Consider the following 20,095-nt stretch of genomic DNA (forward strand, 5'->3'; position numbering starts at 1 on the left):
ATTGGAATAGCAGTAAAATTTAAACTTTTTCCGTCAACTTTTTCTTTACAGTGGGATGACTATCAGGTGGCAGAGCGGTACTCCTACCAAAAACAATCAGAAATGCCAGACAAAATGGCAAAATGGCAGTTGTTAAAGGAATTTAACGTATCATGAAGCAACAAATACTAGAGGGACTAAGACTCCAGAGAAAGAACCTTGTAAGAGAAAATGGGCTTCATGATTCTTTCCCTGAGGGCATTTATCAATTTGGGGGACAGAAAGCAGAATTATTTTGATTCCTATTAAATTACATTTATTTCATTCGTTTTTCAATTTAACAAATGATGTCTAATGTGTATTGTTAGAATATCTCTAGCTTTATCTACCTTGCCAAAGCACCAAAAAATGAGGATATTAACTAAGTCTGAAGAGAAATAAAAAGGTTAAAGTTGAAGTTTAAGGAGATTTTTAATTAATTGGCATAAAATCTCAGTGAAAATTCTAGTCTTATTGCACTTTCAGGAAAAGAACAATTACATTTTCTCTGGGTATGTACAAAGACTAAAGATGTGGAGAATAATTAATTGAAATAACCATTAAATATCATGTTCCGTACTCAAGAGGAGGAGCAAGGTGATGATTTTTTTTTCTTTTTTTTTTTTGGTAGATGAGCAAGTAAGGGAAATTTGAGTAACAATTAACTCCTGATCATTGGGTCAGAACAGAGTTTATTAAGAGTTTCCCTGTGAAATAATTCACATACCCAGAGTTGAACTGAAACATTTTTTAGAATTTTCAGATCCTTAAACATGATGCATTAATAATTGTAAATTACACAAGGCAGCTTAGAGGTGAAAAAAATGATTCTTCATAACTAAAATGGGCTGTGCACATTTGAAGGATAGAAGATGAATGAAAATGGCACAATCAGAGATCACTTTCTATAGAGTTATAACTTGAAACAAGGATTTGGTGAGGGAGGCGAGAAATTGAGAACAAAGGGAAGAAAAGATAAGTTTGAACACAATGACTTGCTAGGTCAGATGAAACACTGATTTCCAAGAAGAGAAAAATATTGAGCAGTAATAAAGGTTGTCAATGGGAAAAGGAAAAACCACATGTTTGATCATATATTTAATAAATTGTAATTTAGGGAGTTGTCATCTAACAAATTACTCAGAGGCTTTGTAGTTTGCAGGTAAAGAGAATGTTTCCTAGAATAAGATGAGACGTACAAGTTTTGTATCTACCACTTGCTAGTGACATGATCTTGGAAAGCTACTTTATATCTCTGCTTCCACTAAAAAAAAATAAATATTGAAAAGAAAAAAGAAAAAAAGGACAAGATAATAGTGTCTAGCTCAGAAAACTGTGGTAAGGGCTAAAGCTCATACCTAACTCTTAGTTTTCTATTGTCGCCTTAAGAAATTACCACAATTTAGTGACTTCTAATAACATGAATTTATTTTCTCAGAGTTTTGTAAGGCAAAGTCTAGGTACAGTGGGCTCAGGTGACTCTTGACCCTAGGTTTTGCCAGGTCAAAATCAAGTTGTGTGCAGGTCTCCGTCCCTTTCTGGAGGCTCTGGGAATATATGCACTTCCAAGCTCATTCAGGTTGCTGCCAAAACTCAATTCCACTTAGATGTAATGATTTCAGTTTCCTTGCTGGCTGTCGGCTAAGGCTCATTTCATTCTCAGCTTCTACAGGGAGCCTGCATGCTTAGGCTCACAGCCCTCTTCTTCCATCTTAAAAGCCCAGTCATAGCCACGTGAATGCGTCTAATCTCTTTGACCTCTCTTTTACTTCTTTCTGCTTTCCCCTTCCTCTGCTCCTCTCTGATTAATTCTGCCTTCTGCTGCTGCTTTTAAAAGCTCATGTGATTACATTAGACCACCTGGAAAATCCAAGATAATCTGTATTTTAAGGTCACCTAAGTCATCTGCAAAATTCCTTCGGGGAAATACTTTAGTTAATGTTTGAATGATTAACCAGGGGACAGAAACCTTAGGAGAAATATTTATAGAACGTTGCCTACCATACTGACCAAGAGGAAACACATCCTAAAGGCTAGCTATTAGTATTATATTTACTCAGAGAAACTGAAATTTGATCTGCTCCAATTAAAGTGTTAGGTGACTCTCAAAATCTCACAGAATCACAGACATCTGCAAGTAAAAGTGACCTTCTAAATGTTGTACTTTTAAACATTTATGTGTATTATGATTCTGAGCAAGCCAATTAACGTTATTGTTTAAATAAATGTAAGAGTTTTCCTAGTGGACCTCATCTTAAATTCATGAGTTCTTGAATTCCAGTGCTGCAGACCTTGTTTAGCATTAAGTTAGCAGTAAAAGAAATTACTCTGATGCATGTATTTTAAATGTGTGATAATACTAAATGAAAAGTGAAAATTCATTGTGAGTTCAAATCACGTTGCTCAATAAAAGGTCATTTTAGTAACTCAGTTGTTTATCTATATAGCTATATCTTCAGCTGATATATATTTTTCTCTCTACACACACATTGTGATTTAATAACCGGTTATGATTGTGTGAAGAAATACAATATACCCCAAGGTCTCACTTATTTATATGCTTATGATCCAATAACGTCATACTTTTATCATTACATGTGAAAATTTTATTCCCAAAACACAAAACATAATAAATTGTAGTTCTGTTTTAGTGCTTGTTTTGTATCTTAAAGAAGCTGTTCTGAAAAGTTTGGATATCGGCCAGGCGCGGTGGCTCATGCTTGTAATCCCAGCACTTTGGAAGTCCGAGGCAGACGGATCACGAAGTCAGGAGATCGAGACCATCCTGGCTAACACGGTGAAACCCCGTCTCTACGAAAAATACCAAAAAATTAGCCGGGCGTGGTGGTGCATGCCTGTAGTCCCAGCTACTCAGGAGGCTGAGGTAGGAGAATGACGTGAGCCTGGGAGGCGGAGCTTGCAGTGAGCCTAGATCGCACCACTGCACTCCAACCTGGGCGGCAGAGCGAGACTCCATCTCAAAAAAAAAAAAAAAAAAGCTTGGATATCATGACCCTTTAATATTTTTAAAATTATTGATGACTTGATGACTCTGAACACAAAGATTTGTTTCTTTATGGAAATTATATCTGTCAATAGGTGCTTGGAAGGCTTAGGTGGGAGAACTGCTTCAGCCCAGGATTTCAAAGTTACAGTGAGCTATGATCACGCCACTGTACTCCAGTCTGAGTAACAGCGCGAGATTCCTGCTAGAGAAAAAAAAAAAAAATGAAGAATCTATTATTATCTAACATAAATATTTATTAAAATTGCACAATGCTTTTCCAGAATTAAAAAAAAAAAACACACAAAATTAGTTAGAAGTGCCATTATTTTGCAAATTCCTTTAACATGAGATTTAATGAAGACAACTGGATTCTTACGTTCACTTATACTTTCAATTTGTTGCATTTTTCTTTTGGCTGAAATGTATTTTTAAAAATGTGTTCTTATACACGTATGCATGTACGTATGTAGTTAGAAATACATTATTCTTGCAGACAACCTGAAAGTTATCAAGTATTTTCAGAGGGCTCCGTGGACCATAGTTTGAGAACTACAGTCTTAAATGAAGAGAGGGAGAAAAAAATAAACTCTAGATATGTATTTGTATTTACTTAGTATATAAAGCAACCCAATATAGATATACACTATGTTCTTTTGTGAAGTAGGTGTTGTGATAGGTTATAATATTTCAAAGAAGTGTGACCTAATAATAATTTTTTTAATTTTTCTTTCTTTCAAATATAGACATCCTTTTTTTTTTTCTTTTTATCTGTTAGATATGGTGAAAGTCATCTGTAAAATTTACTTGGAACTAGTTTTTTCAGTGGAAGAGAAGAAGCCTTTCACTCTTTCCCATTACTAACATTTTTGGTTCACTCAATTCATTATTTCTTCTTGGTTTAATTGTGGCCCTAGAATATTTTTTTCTAGAAATCTTTCTATCTCATTTTGATTTTAAAATTAATTAGAATAAAATAATTTACTTTTAAGATTTTAAATTGGTTTTGAATCTGCAATTATTCAATTTGTTTTGTGTTTTGTTTTTTTTGCTTTTAATTTCTTTTTAGCTTTCTTGGCTTTTTGCTGTTGATAGAAATACTCTGTGTTTCATTATTTCACTCAATTTCTTTTATTCTCATCTTTTAATTTTATTTATTTTCTCTTTTTTCAACAACTAATTAATGTTTCCTTTGGGAATGAAAGAAAAATTCATCATAATATTCTATCTGTGTAATTTACCACATTAAAAGACAATTTGTTAATAATGTTAAAGTTCTGTTCTTTTTTTAAAAAATTCTTATTAATAGACTAGAACTTCCTTTACTTGATTTATAGTAAATATAAGTCAATATCTGAAACTTGATACTCATTTCCTTTAATAATTTGATAAAGAAAAGAAACTCTCTCCCATTGCATGTCTTGGTAAACTTTTCAGAGGTCATAATCTGTAAGGACCTAAATGAAAAATTAGAATATTTATATTAATTGCAGAAAATATGACCATCCACTTATAAAATAAATCCACAAATATAGTATAAGAACTTTTGAAAAATTCTGGACAATAAAAGCAACTCATAACATTCAATAGCATTACTCTACAATTGCAATAACCAAGATGGTAACAATAACCAACTTGAAGATGCAATTCAGAAATAGGATACCTTTACAATGGCCACAAAAACTACAAAGTATATAAGAATATACCCCCCAGAAATACAAAATATATTTCTTGACAAAATTTTTGAATTCATATAAATGATGTACCTGATGTTCTAAATAAGTGGAAAGATATTTTAGCTACTAGATGAAACAACATAATATTATGAGGATTTAAATTTTTCCCAAATTATTGTATTAGTTCAAAGAAAAAAATCTGTCTTCCAAATTGATTTTTTAAGGTACTAAATCAAGTTAATCTAAATTTATATTGAATACAAAGAAATATTTTCAACCTGAAGAAAAAGCAAATTGAAAAGACGTGTTAGTATACATGACTAGTAAGCATAAAAACATTAGGTAATGAAAGGAAAAAATGGAGTGGAATGGATCTACTGTGGACATTAATATACAATAAATTCAGCATCAAAAATTAATAAAGAGAAATAAAGATAGATTCCTATGTAACACTGCATATACAGGCAGGGTCCCGATGCATGGCTTTGAATTACTACAAAGTTAATAGAAGAAAATGTAGGAATCTATCTTTATAACCTAATTACAAATTAAAATAACCATGATGTGTAATTTTTTAGTGTTACATGAATAGAATAGTGGGTGATGCTCATGTTGAGTGATGGTGGGTGGGGGTAGGTGTATGCAAGAATCCTCATGCACTCTTGCTGAGAATGTTGTGGAAAGCAACCTGGCACAACTTAGTGAAAACAAGTAGTCAATACTAAAAGACTCAATAATTCTGCTCCTGTGATACATCAAATAAATGTCCTTTTACATTTCCATAACAGATTATGCCTGTGTGTATAATTTTGCAAAAATATATATTGTTTGAGCTGGTAGGAAACCAGAAGTGACTTGGAAAGTGAATAGGCAAAATATTGTGACTATACAATATAAGGTATTACAATAAATCTAGAGTAAACAGATTTAATGAACATATAACAAAGTTGACTGGATCTCAAAAATATATTGCTTAGACAAAACGTACAGAATTATAAAAAATATTTATGTGAATAAAATAATGCACACCTACAAAAGTCACCCATTTTTGAAGATTCCATATCACATGTGTGAAATATTTAAAAACTAGTATACACATTAAATATATGGAAGTGGTTGTCTCAGTCGATGAATGTGAGAAGAAAGTGCTACAGCAAAGAAAGTGATTGATAAATAAGACAAAGGCAGGACCTTAGACAGAATGAAGATAATTTACCAGTAACCGATGAACAAGATTAACTCAAACCTTTTTACGTCTGAGTGACTAATGAAAATCATAGTGAATAGCTCATTAAATCATATATAACATATGTGTGTCTAAATATGTATATATAGCTGTTATAAATGTATACCCATATGCATAAGAATTTCCTCGTTTTAAAGTTTTTTAATTGCATTCAGTAGAGTTTGTCTTAAAAATATCTTTGCAATATTAGTTTGATTGACACATGCTGACTGGGTGCTGACATGCTGACTAGAATTTCCATGGAAAATTCTTTGTCTAATTTTCGTGTGGAAGTAGAATATTAATTTCTGGGCTTCTACGGAGTGTAACAATGCAATATTATCACTAGTTAAAAACATAAAAAGCACTCCCTTGCAAGTGTAACAGAGGTCTCTTGGTGACTTCTCCTTTGCTTTGTGAATTACAGTGATCAGTATTCTAGATGGAATTTAATTTGAGTTCTGAAAATTGTCCTTGTGGATTCATTAATTGTAATAAAAATAATGAAAAGGTATAAGGATGTTTCACTAATAATGTTATAAGCCAATATTCTTTGGAATTGCTTTGAAAATCAAATTTTGGTATAATTTATATAAAATAAAGTCTTCTTATTTTAAGCCTACTGTAGAATTAGCTTTGATAAAGTCTATGTACTAGTAAACAATGTAACAACCAAGGCATAGAAAAATTTCATCACCCTAAAAAAAAAAAGTTCCATCAAGGCCATTTGCAATTAGTTTTTCTGACACCATTCCCTAAGCAAAAATAAATACAAAAACAAAAAACAAAACAAAAATAAACACCTGTCACAGACCAGAGGAAACTAAAAAGACATGAATACATGAGGACTAAATTCAATATGAAATCCCTAATGAAGCCTGGAAGAAAAAGGACATTATTGTAAACTTTGGTGAAATTCTTACAGTATCTGTTATTTAGTTAATAGTAATGTACCAGTGTGAATTTCTCAGTTTTCATTAATGCACCCTAGTTATGTAAGCTGAATGAAGGGTATATCTTTAAAAAAAAACAACTTTTCATTTCATTGGTTTTTTATAGTATTTTAGAATCTATTTCATTTACCATTTATTTCTGCTTTGATCTTTATTATTTCTTTTATTTTACTAATTTGGGGTTTGGTTTGTTCTTCCTTTTCTAGTTCCTTAAGGTTCATAATTTTGTTGTTTATTTGAAATCTTTGTACCCTTTAATTAAAAAATAAAGGTATATACTTTCCTCCTGATGTTTCTAAAATTTTCTCTTTGTCTTTGATTTTTGACAGCTTTACTATAATGTTCCTCAGAAAAGACCTTTTTGAGTTGAATCTATTTGGGTCATTTAAGTTTCTTGTCTCTGGTCACCTATATCTCTTGCAAGACTTGGGAAGTTTTCAACTCTTATTTTATTAAATAAGTTTTGTTCATTCCTTTTCATCTTTTTCATTATTTTTTTTTTCTGTCTGACTAGGTTCTTTCGATAAAACCTATCTTCAAGTTCAAAAATTTTCTTCAGCTTGATCTAGTTTATTGTTGAAATTCTTCATTATATTTTTTTACTGAATTCTTTAATTCTATAATTTCTGTTTGTTTTTACAAATCTGTCAAATTTCTCATACCGTTTATTAGTTGTTTTTCTAATTTTTATATTATTTATCTTTGCTGTTTTCTATTATATTGAGCTTCTTTAATATTACTTTGCATTCTTCTTTGGGCATTTCATCAATTTCTTTTTTGCATATTCTGTTGCTAGAGAATTATTGTGTTCCTTTGGAGATGTCGTGCTTACTTGCCTTTTCACGTATTTCATGTCTTTAGGTTCATATCTGCACATCTGTTGTAGCAGTCACTTTTTTCTAATTTTATGGATTGGCTTTCACAGGAAAAGAATTTTTCCTACAGGAGTATCTATACTGTTGGTTGGGGGGGTGCTTTGGCTTTGAATTGGGGTGGGGACAGTAATGTAGTCTCTGTATGATTTCTTCATTTATCATGAACGTCAGTGGTGTCTGTGAGTTTCTCAGTGGCTTAGGCTGTGGTTGTTAGTGGAGGCTATATTAAGGCTTTGCTGGGGATAGAGAAGTCAGGTATCCTGGTCCTCAGGCACCAATGGTGGCAGTGGAAGACCAGGTGTGCCAATCTTTTGGCCTCCATGTGACTTGCTCGGGTTCCAGCAGTGGTAGCATTTTTCTGGGTGGGTGGGCAAAATCTTGGGGCCCTGATTGGCACACATAGCATCAGTGATGGTAGTAGCAGTGGTAGGCCAATCCTGGAAGTACTGTATGGCACACACAAGCGCCAGTAGTAGTAGCAGCAGCACGCTGGATGGGACAGTCCTTAGGCCCCCAAATGACACATGAGTTTGTGTGCAGTCAGTGGTCGTGGTGGCAGGCTTGGTGGGCTCATCTTCAGGTTCCTGATCTTCAGGCTCTTGATGCTCTCAGTTACTGGGAGGGGCTGCAGTGGGTGGGGTCACACTGACCTCAGGCCCCTAGATGATGTGTGTGGGCATTCATATAGCCAGCATGATGGGCCAATTCCAAGGCCTCTGAATAGCATGAGTAGGTTTGCTTGGTAGGGTTACAGGCAGCACATACATATCCTTAGGCTCCTCAATGACGTTTGCTAGCACCTGCTGTGGCATGCACAGAAGGTTAACCCTCAGGACTCCTGATGGGGTGCTTGGGCACCAGCAGCAGTGGTGGTGAGAGAGGTAGGCTCATCCTTAGGTCCCAAGAAAGCATTCAGGCAGGCTGTTTCCTTCATCCCTTGAAGGCTCTTGCAGGTATGCTAAACTCCTTATGGTAAGTCAATGCTGAGTTGTTCTCAGCGGGTCAAGAGTGGCTGCAGGTCAAGAAGGCAATTCTGAGGCTCTGGTGGATACATGCTTCAGATCTCTTTGTCCTGGGAGTAGCTTCCCTCGTGGACTACAATGGCCACTTCCTGGGGTGTAGAAAACTGTGTGTGCTAGAGTGCTGAAAACTCAGCCACACCACTGAGACCCAACATTGTGACACTACAGCTTTCTGGGTGGATGTTGGGAGATGTGAGCAAGGCTCCAGGAATACGAAGATGCGGGGGTTGTTTAGCTCCAGGTCAGGATATAGTCTGGTGTTTCTGGGCTATCAAAATTGTGCCATGCTGTAGCAACTTGGGTCTCAGCATGTGTGTGGTAACCAGTGTGAACATCCTTTCTGAAACAATGTCGTCCTGTGAACTCCAAGAAGTTTTCTATAGCAGTCTCAGGACTCACAAGGGCTGAAGGGTTTTGACCAGGATTTCAGGCACATGTAGTGTGAATGTGAACTGCTGAGGATCTCTCAGGTACATTTACCCTGTGCTGAGGAGTTTCTTCTGGCTCCGAGCTGATTCTGGCCAGGATAGTAGCTGCTTCTCTCCCCTCTTCTTCCATGGCTTAGGAGTTCCCTGTCACTTCCCTGCTGAATACTGGTTTTCTCTTGAATGCTCTATTCAGTGTGTAGTTATGAACTCCCGGTTTTGGTCCTTCTTCGTGGAGGAGGCAGGTGTCTTTGGTTTCCCCTAGTCAGCCAGCCAATCCTGAAGCCCTTTCCCATATTCTGTAATATCTTTCCAACTCTTTTTTTAAATCAAAAATTATTTCAAAATAAAAAGTAAAACCAATATGCTTAAGAGAAGTTTAGCTGGGTGTGGTGGCTCACGCCTGTAATGCCAGAACTTTGGGAGGCCAAGGCAGGCAGATCACAAGGTCAGGAGATCGAGACCATCCTGGCTAACAGGGTGAAACCCAGTCTTTACTAAAAATACAAAATATTAGCCGGGTATGGTGGCGGGCACCCGTAGTCCCAGCTACTCAGGAGGCTGAGGCAGGAGAATGGGGTGAACCCAGGAGGTGGAGCTTGCAGTGAGCTGAGATCCCACCATTGCACTCCATCCTGGGTGATAGAGTGACACTGTGCATCAAAAAAAAAAAAAAAGAAGTTTATTAATTTTCTAATGCAAAGTAAATATAACATATTAATAATTCAAAAACATTGATAATTACTAAAAATAAAAATGGTTTCTCATTTTTTTTATTTCTGGACACCATATTGTTTTTGTCACATAAAGAAAAAAATGTAATAAAGTAAATTACTAATTAATTACATGAATTTTTCAAGTATTTACTATCACTGTTTTCTATAGAGCTAATATGTTAAAAGTATAGCTTACTCTGAAAATGAATTAATATTTTTACTATAAGTTACAGAGTAATACACTGATTTTTGCATAATATCTTGTCAAAATCATCACCTCAAAAGCTCAGTTTTATCTTTATCTACTCCTGTAGAGTGGAGGCTACCTTGGCATGAAAGAAAGAAAGAAACAACTGCATATTCTGCATCTCAATAAATTAAAACTTTATATAAGTCTCAAACTTTTTGCTTGGCGCCTTTTGAAGCTAAGTGATGTCTTTTTGTTGTTCCAAAAAGATTTTATTAAAAGACATTTTCTAAATAGCTGACTGGCACATTTATTAAATTACTTGTATTTAGGGATACAAGTAATACATACTAATTTTGGAAAACACAGTAACTAAAGAGAAAAAATGAAAAGCATTCATAACTGCAATATAAAGATAAACATGCATCTTAGCATATATACTTTAAGACTGCTAATATATATTTAATAGATAAAAATACCAGACACAATGAAGCACAAATAAATTTGCACACTACTTTGTGACTTGTTTTTTTCATTTAAAATACACAATGAGACTTTATTTAAATAGTTGAAACATTTCTGCTAACCAAGAAGGATTTGTTGATTTGGTCAGAATGCAATATTCAAGTTGAAGCTGACAACACTATAAGTTTTAAAGCAGTTGAATTAACAAAAATACATCAAGAAAAGGCAAAAAGACAGAAAGCAGGATTGAGAAGTATTAACTTCAGAGAAAACTTAAATTTGAGTTTTCTATTTCTTTTTTTTTTTTTTTTTACTTTTTTGACAACTTTTTTTCTTTACTTTTATTTTAGGTTAAAGGAGTATATGTGCAGGTTTGTTACCTGGATAAATTGTGTGTTGCTGAGGCTTAGTGTACAAATAATCCCGTCATCTAGGTGGTGGGTATAGAACCCCATGGGTAGCATTCCAACCCATGTTCCCCTCCCACCTACACTGCAAGCAGTCTATAATTCCTTTTGATCCTGTATTTAATGTTTAGCTCCCACTTACAAGTGAGAACATGCAGTATTTTGTTTTCTGTTCCTGCATTAGTTAACTTAGGAAAATCGCCTCCAACTCCATCCATATTGTTGCAAAGGACATGATTGTGTTCTTTTTTATGGCTGTGTAGTATTCCATGGTATATATGTACCACATTTTCTTTGTCAAGTCCACCACTGATAGGCATCTAGGTTGATTTCATGTCTTTGCTCTTATGAATAGTGCTGTGATAAACATGTGTATGCATGTGTTTTATTGGTGGAACAATTTATTTTCCTTTGAGTATATACCCAGTAGTGGGATTACTGGATTAAATAGTAGTTCTGTTTAAGTTCTTTGAGAAATCTTCAGACTGCTTTTCACAGTGGCTGAACCAACTTACATTCCCACCAGAAGTGTTTAAGTGTTCCCTTTTCTCCACAGTCTCACCAGCATCTATTGTTTCTTGACATTTTCATAGTAGCCATTCTAACTGGTGTGAGATGGTATCTTACTGTGGTTTTCATATATATTTATCTAATGATTACTGATGATGAGCATTTTTTTCATGTTTGTTGGCTGCATGTATGTCTTCTCTTGAGAAGTGTCTGTGCATGTCTTTTGCTCATTTTTAAATGGGGTTACTTGTTTTATGTTTGCTTAATTGTTTAAATTACTTATAGATCCTGGTTATTAGACCTTTTTTGGATGCATAGTTGGTAAATATTTTCTCCCATTCTGTAGATTGTCTGCTTACTCTATTGGTAGTTTATTTTGCTATGCAAAAGTTCTTGCTTTATGGCTAAGCATGTGGTCAATCTTAGAGTATGTGCCATGTGCTAATGAGAAGGATGTATATTCTGTGGTTGTTGTGGGGAGTGTTCTGTAGATAGCTATTAGGTCCAATTGGTCAAGGGTCAAGTTTAAGTCTAGAATATCTTTATTAGTTTTCAGCCTCTATTATCTGTATAACTCTTTCAGTGGGGTGTTCAGGTCACTCCCTATGATTGTGTGGTTGTGCAATTCTCTTTACATAATTCTAAGAACTTGTTTTAAGAACATGGGTGCTGCCATGTTGGGTGTATGTATATTTAGGATAATTAGGGCTTCTTGTGGGATTGAAACATTTATCATTATGTAATGCTCTTCTTTGTGTTTTCATCATTGTTGTTTTAAAATTTGTTTTATCTAATATAAAAATAGCAACCCCTGCTCTCTTTTTAAATTTCCATTTGTGTGGTAGATTGTTCTCCAACCCTTTACTTTGAGCCCATGGGTGTTGTTACTTGTGAGATGGGTCTCTTGAAGACTACAGACAGTTTTATTTTGCTCCTTTATTCCACTTTCTACTCAAAGCCTTTTACGTGGGACATTTAGCCCATTTATATTCATGGTCAATACTGATATGTGAGAATTTGATTCTGTCATCATGTCATTAGCTGGTTGTTATGTAGACTTGATTGTGTAGTTGCTTTATTGTGTCAACAGTCTTTGTACATAATTGTGTCTTTGTGGTGGCATGCATTGTTCTTTCATTTTCATGCTTTGCATTCCCTTTAAGCCATCTTGTAAGGCTGGTCTAGTGGTAACAAATTTCCTTGGCATTTGCTTGTTTGAAAAAAAAATTTCTCCTTTGCTTATGAAGTTTAGTTTGGCGGAATATGAATTTGTTATTTGCAATTTCTTTTAATCATATTAAAAATGGGCTTCCAATTATTTTGGCTTGTAAGATTTCTGCTGTAAGGTCTGCTGTTAAACTGATGGGGTTCCCTTTGTGAGTAACCTGCCCATCTTCTCTAGCTGTGTTTAAGGCTTTTTTTTTCTCACATTCACCTTAGAGTCTTAGAGAGTTTGATGACCATGTGGCTTGGGGATGGTTGTTTTGCGTAGTATCTCACAGGAGTTCTTTAAATTTCTTGAATGTGCATGTAGACCTCTCTTGAGAGCTTGGGGAAAATATTGTGTACTATATTCTCAAATATATTTTCCAAGTTGCTTGCTCTCTTTTTTTCTCTTCCATGAAAACCAAGGAGTCATAGGTTTGCTCTTTTCACATAATCTCTTATTTTTGAAGGTTTTGTTCATTTTGATAAGTTCTTATTTCTTTATTTTTGTCTGCCTATGTTGCTTCAAATGAGTAGTCTTTAAGCTCTGAGATTCTATTCTTGGCTTGAGCTATTGTTCTGCTGATAAAGCTGACAATTGTATTTTGAAAGTCTTGTAGTGAATTATTTATTTTCAGAAGTTCAGTTTGGTTCTTTCATAAAATGCTTACATTGTCTTTCAACTCTTGGATCATTTTACTGTTTTCCTTGGTTTGGGTTTCAGCTGTCTTCTGTATGTTGATGAGCTTCTTTCCCATCATATTCCGAATTTTATGTCTGACATTTTGGCCATTTCAGTCTGGTTAAGAACCATTGCTAAGGAGCTAGTGTGATTGCTTGGAGGTAAGAAGACATGCTTTACTTTTAGAGTTACCAAAATTATTGAACTGGTTATTTCTCATCTGTGAAGTCTAATGTTCTCTTATCCTTTGATATTTCTGTCCTTTGAGAGAGTTTGTTTTTTTTTTTTTCATGTACTTCATTGCCCTTGAGGACTGTGGTGCCAGTGGATATAGTTGACGGGCTTGATTTCCATATGCTTTCCAAGGGCCAGGATTATCTCCTCACTCCGGCACTTTGTGCTCTAATCATGGCTGCCTGGGACTGGGTGTGAGCTTGGTCTTCAGGTCTTTTGATGTTGAGCCTTGGCTGGGCTGGAGTAGCTGAGGTACTCTCAGACTGCTGGCAACAGCACTTCATCATGGGCCTCATGGGCACCATGGGCAAATGCACTCCAGTGGCAGCTACAGCTGGGTCACATGCAAACATGCCCAGGGAACTCACTCTGGTGCGGGTGGTGGTAGGATTATAGGCTAATATGCTCTGGTGGTGGGCTGTCAGTCAAATCACTCTGGTGAAGGTGGCAGAGGCACTGTGTGCAGAAAGCACTCCAATGAGTACAGAAAGGCACTGCAGGTGTGCAATGCTCTTACAGGGGAGGCTATGGTACTGCAAGCAAACATGCTGCAGAGGAGAGGTGACAGGGTTTTGGGTGAATGCTCTTTAGCAGGAGGGTGTCAGCAAAAGCACTCTGGTGGGGCAGCAGTGGCCTCTGTTGAAAATGCTATGGCAGTGTTTGCTGGCAAACATATTTCTGTGAGGTAGCTGAGGCTGCACTGTTTGCTGGCACAGCCAAGGATGGACTCTGTGAGGAGCTGGTAGTCAGGGGGACATAAATCTGACTCTCCCTGGTCCCATGGGAAAGATAGCCCTGCTTTCTCCAGGTCCAGCAGACCATACAGGTCAGTACCGCCTAGAGGGTTACAGAGAGCCCTGGAGAATAGGCACCTATGGCCAAATACAACTGCAGAATACCCATGCCAGACCACCTGGGGTCCCTGCAGATTCAAGTTCTTTCTCTGCCTACTCTCTGGACAGTTCCCCCTGCCCATGTAAATGTCCTTGGAGCTTGTAAGTTTTCTTGCAGATACGATCTCAGAGGTCTATGGTGAGAGTAGGCCACTCTGCGTTAACTCCATTCATCCATTCTTTAGAAGTCATTCAGGGGTGGAACACATCCTGGTTCTCAACAACCCTGCAAAGGGTTCCTATCTTCCTCCCCATTCATCCCTGACATCTGAATCATCTCTCTATCCACTCATAATGAGTTCTCACAGGTGGACTGTTTGGATTATGCTGATCTACTCGTTATTCTGGCTTGTCTCAGCTGAAGACATTCTTCCTGGCTGTGACTAGTTGGCCATTTTGTCCCAATTTTCCATAAAGTCTTTTATGTTATGTGTAGTTTTCCTTGTGCATTAACTAATAACATCACACATCAAATTTGAGAAACAGGGAAAACAGGTATAGCTTTATCTCATCCATGAGAATAACATTGCATCAATAAAGTGTTAATGTCTTATCAACAAAATCAATGTCATGCATGAATAATATGGCACTACTAGTTTCCACAAAAGATCAAGACTTAAAGAAAAAATTATTGGAACTTAGCAAAGTAAAAGAAAAAAATAAAACATTACTTCTAAGGACTCTTGAGAGACACCATTTAAAATGTGATTATTTGGTAATCTGGGTGGAATATTTTACCATTTATTATAAAGGCCATATATTTATTTCAAGATGTATTAATAACTTCATATCAGACCATTAAGGATACATTTAAATTCATACCAAATGTCAAAGCTAAAATTGTAAACATCATCCATCTAATTTCTGAGGATCATGTTGAAATTAATCTGCATGCTTAGCAAAAATAGATTAATTTATATTATTTTTTTTATTTTGGAACTGATACATTATATCATTTGCCATTACATTAATGTCAAAAATTTTGTGTAATATGTGTAATGCACTTTTTTTCTGTTATCTGTGTCTTTGTTGACATTTTTTAACCTTCAGATTATAAAACACGAGTCTGATCAGGAAAACATAAAAATGTGTTTGAAATAAATGATTTTGAAATACTTTTTAAAAATAACTAACATTTTACATTTAACTCAGTTCAATTTTTCTTACTGGTTGCATGTTTGACTTGAAATACTACATGAAATATACTAAGCACAATGAATCATTAAGACATAATGTGACAACTAGGGATCTAACATAGATTTTCTATCTTATTAATGAATGAAAAATACCAAAATTTGCTATAATAATCTATCAAACCAAAAAATTCTTAATTTATTATCTAAAGGTTCATATGCTTGAACATCTTACTTATTGTATGTATTATATTATGAAGAGTATAACATAATGACATTATTTGTTGTATTTTAGATTGACAACTCTATATTTTACAATCTTTTCTAAATGTCAAGTATAATCACAAAGTGCTAAGAAATAGCATATTTGCTGTTAAATAGAGCTATATGTCAAGCATTTGTAAGAAAGTTTTATTTGGGATGATGAACGTGGTCAGGATTCTTAATCCAAATTCATGATCAATTTCCCAGGGCTACAACAGATCTTACTAAGCACTGAAGATACATCAGCTACACAGCACTTTTATTGCTAGGAATATCTTTGACTCCAAATCTCTAGAGTTACCTTCTTTAGTGACTTGGCTGGGCCACATTTCATGTGATAGTTGGTCTTCCACATATAAACTATGAGATTGTATGGCAATAATAGATAATGAGGGGAAAAAAATCTCCCAGAGGATAGAGCCAGAGATCACAGTGGACAATGGACAAAGGTGTTTCTCTTCTGGCTAACAGCATAACCAGGGCTGAATTCGAAGGCCCTTTAGGTCACATTGTCTCCTATAATTTCATATTTACTATTGAGCAGTGTGTCTCCCATTTTCTTCATGTCCTCTATAGCCCAGCTTATACACACCCTTTTTGTGAGCTCAGACCAGCTTTTTGAATTAGGCATTTCTAGGCTGTATTAATCACTGGTAGATACATGCCCCAAGGTACATTGCATAAGCTCTCTGAGACTCAGTTTCCTTATATAAAAAATGGAAGTGACAACTCTCCAGATTGTAAAGCAGAGAGGAAAATCTATGGACTTAAAAACATACCTGCTATCTGGCTTGTCATAGTTTGTTCTTACTGCTGTAACAACATACCTTAGATTGCGTAACTTTAAGTAATTTATAGATAATAGAAACTTTTTTTTTTTTTTTTTTTTACTATTTTGGAATCTGCAAAGTGCATGATCAAATTGCCTGCAGATTCAGAATCTGGAGAGGGCTGCTCTCTGCTTCCAAGATGGTGGTATTATTGCTGTGTCCTCACAGCAGAAATGAGAGGAAGCTGTCTGAAGCCCCTTTTATAAGAGCATCAGTCCCATTTACAAGAGTGGAGCCCTCATGAATAATCACCTTGCAGAGTCCCCACCTTTTAAAACCATTGTTACAGGATCTTCAGGTTGTCACTTTTCTGGCTGGACACTTCTGTGGCCAGTGGTGCCTTTCCCCAAGTTTTTCTTGGGCCCTCTGGGCTCATTCTGCCCACTCAACCTGGCAGGCTGTGCTCGGCTCACAACACTGGCCGGGATCCCACACCTGCTGAGGGAGACTAAATGGAATGGTGAGGGGTGTGTGAGTGAGTGTGGGGTCTGTCTACTGTGCAGTCAGACATTCTGACTGCTGCAATGGGGTAGGAATCTCCAGGTGCCAGCATGAGCACTGGCTCTGCATGAGGCTGCAGCTGGACCAGGTGCACTGCAAGCAGCTTCTGCAGCTGGCACCAGGAAACATGGTGGGTACCTGGAAACTTGGAGATGCCAGGAACTGCAAGCCCCAAAAGGGAATCAAAGCCCTGGCTTTAGAAGCTCCCAAGTCTTTTGTTACAGCTCTTTTAGCCCTATTCAGTGGGTCCCAACTTCTTGTCCTGCACCCAGGAAGAATGAGTTACGCAGACAAGTGGAGGGTGAGCAAGACTTCAAGGAGTTTCATTAAGTGATAGAACAGCTCAGAGGAGAGCCGCACTGGGTAGCTCCTTTCTGCAGCCAGGGTATCCTTATGATTGTTCAGCTCCTAGCAGACAGGAGACCATGAAGTGGGAACTTACTGCAGGAAGGTCACCCCCTCATCTTCCCAGCTCTCAGCAGTGAAGAGTCCCTGGAGTGGGTAGCTCCTCTCTGCAGTTGGTCGTCCTAACATCTGCTGAGCTCTAACTGAACGTGGGGCTTTTATGGGCCTTGGAGGACCCATGGGCAGCCATTGGCGGGCCTGGAAAAGGCACCACAAGTCCCCACTCTGGTTCACAGGATGGGAAGCCCGGGTCCCAGCCTTCAGGTCCTTGTTGGGCCCACTCCAATGTCTGGGGCAGGGGGGATATCACCACAAACTTCCCCCCATTGCCCCGGTGCTCGGGGCAGCCCAGGGTGGGGTGGATGATGAGACCCAGGTAGTCAACAGAAGTGTCAGGCTCAGGAGTCACTCCAATGTGGGGTGGACCCTGGGGAAGTGACCCCAAATGGCCTCACACAGAGCCTCCTTCAGAGGCACTGGAACCTGGCACCCTCAGCGGGGTGGGTGTAGTGGCTGCATCATTGGCTGGGTCCCTAAAGAAGATGCCACTCCCACTTCCTGCCCTGGGCATAGCACCCACACTTCGTGTGCAAGCGCAGCACTGCCCTGGGCCCAGCTCCACCTCAGGGACTCTGTCTGCCCAAGCTCGCTCTTTTCTGCTGGTGGCCAACCTGCCCTGGCCCCATCACAGCAGCTCCCAGGGCGGTGGGCTTTGGTGGTCTGTCCGCCTCCTCCCTGCACCCTCCCTTAAGCAGCTGGCATGATGGTAGTGGCGCTACAGACAGTGCACTGCTGCCATTACCATCACCTTGAAAATTAGGTTTTAAATTTAGTTTTGGACAGACACATAAATTCAAACCATAACATAGCTACTGAAAACTGACACTTTTTTATTATTGTAATTATAAAAATCCAAATTGCTCATTTAATTCAAACAATGCACTATTTATAAAACTGTTAGTTTTGTACAATTTACCCTCTGTATTTGTCATTTTAGGTCAAAACTCTAATGTAAAACGTGGTTTCATAAGAAGTCTGTACAAATAGGCTTAGTTGTAAAGGAAAAAAATACACTACATAAAAACTATTTTATTTTGCCTAAATATTTATGCAAGAACTTACAAGTCACTAATAAAACGTGATTAATGTTCAGAATTTGTATGTTAAAACAATGCTCATTTAATTGGGGGAGGTGCGTGCCCTTCTATGAATTAAAATAACTCCTTTCACAGAGCTTTTATGCACATACATATATGCTCTTTGTCTGTAGTCCAAGGAAGTATTTCATACATGACTAACGATTACCCCTTTTAAGAACTCATTGTGCCCACACACAAACCCTATTCTAGCTACATCCCAGAACCTCCACCTCTGTGGTGCTAACATGCATAATCTACATTGAATTATTTTGCTCATTTTTGTAAGTAGTAAATAGAACACAAATGCATTAATATGAAGTTTCTGTCTAAATTGACTGGAATAGAGAGTATGCAGTGCAGCCTTGACTGATAACTTGAACTCTATTTGTTCAGTTTCCTGTATCTTCTCATGGTTGTGTTAAAAGATTATAATTGACTTTAAAGTGACAATTCTCTCTCTCCATAAAGAGTTCAGTTCACATTATTTCTTTTATTTTCAGTTTGTCTTGAATTTACAAGACAACAATTTACAAAAAACAACAAAGAAAATTGTATTTGGTTCTACTCCCTAAAGAGAGTGAACATCCTTCCTTTCATAATTTGTTTTCTTTCCACTGGAGTTCTCCGTTCTGATTTTTATTCCATTCTCACATTTGTGATAAATATATATTATTTTTCTTTACTTTCTTTATAGTTTTGTGAGTATAACACTCATCAGGTTAAAGCTTACTGACCTCAACTCATTGTTAAGATTGTTTTGAATGTCTAACATTTTACTTAATCATTAAAATAATTTCATGTTTTTAAAATATTTTTAAACACTAACTGATATAAGATTTTTTAAATAGAAATTTTATTTTAATCATGGAGAAACATTTGGTTAATATGCAACGTTAACATCTAAAAGACCACATCAGAGCAAATAAAAAAAAAAGATAAAAGATTCTCAATCTGAGTTAATGAAGACATTGCAGATTAACATATGAATATTTGAAACAACATTCATTCTTTCATGTGGGGCAGTTAAGAACACAGGCTTGGGTCCAAAGTCACATGGATTTGAATCTTGAAATAAACCTAGTAGAGTCGGATTCTAAGCAAGCTGCTTCAACTCTTGTCTTAGATTCATAATCCGTAAAATTGAGGTGAAAAGTGACAATAATGTTAATCACCTTATAAATTTTAATAAAATACACATATTTAAAATATTTCTGGATCAGAAAAAGTTCTTGTTATTAATGTTGTGATCATTATGATGAGTAGTCAATGGTAAAACAAATTAGAACTGTATGGTACAGAATTTTTTTTTTTTTTTTTTTTGAAAC

Source organism: Homo sapiens, chromosome 1, assembly GCF_000001405.40.
Source record: "Homo sapiens chromosome 1, GRCh38.p14 Primary Assembly".
In the NCBI taxonomy this organism is placed as follows: domain Eukaryota; kingdom Metazoa; phylum Chordata; class Mammalia; order Primates; family Hominidae; genus Homo; species Homo sapiens.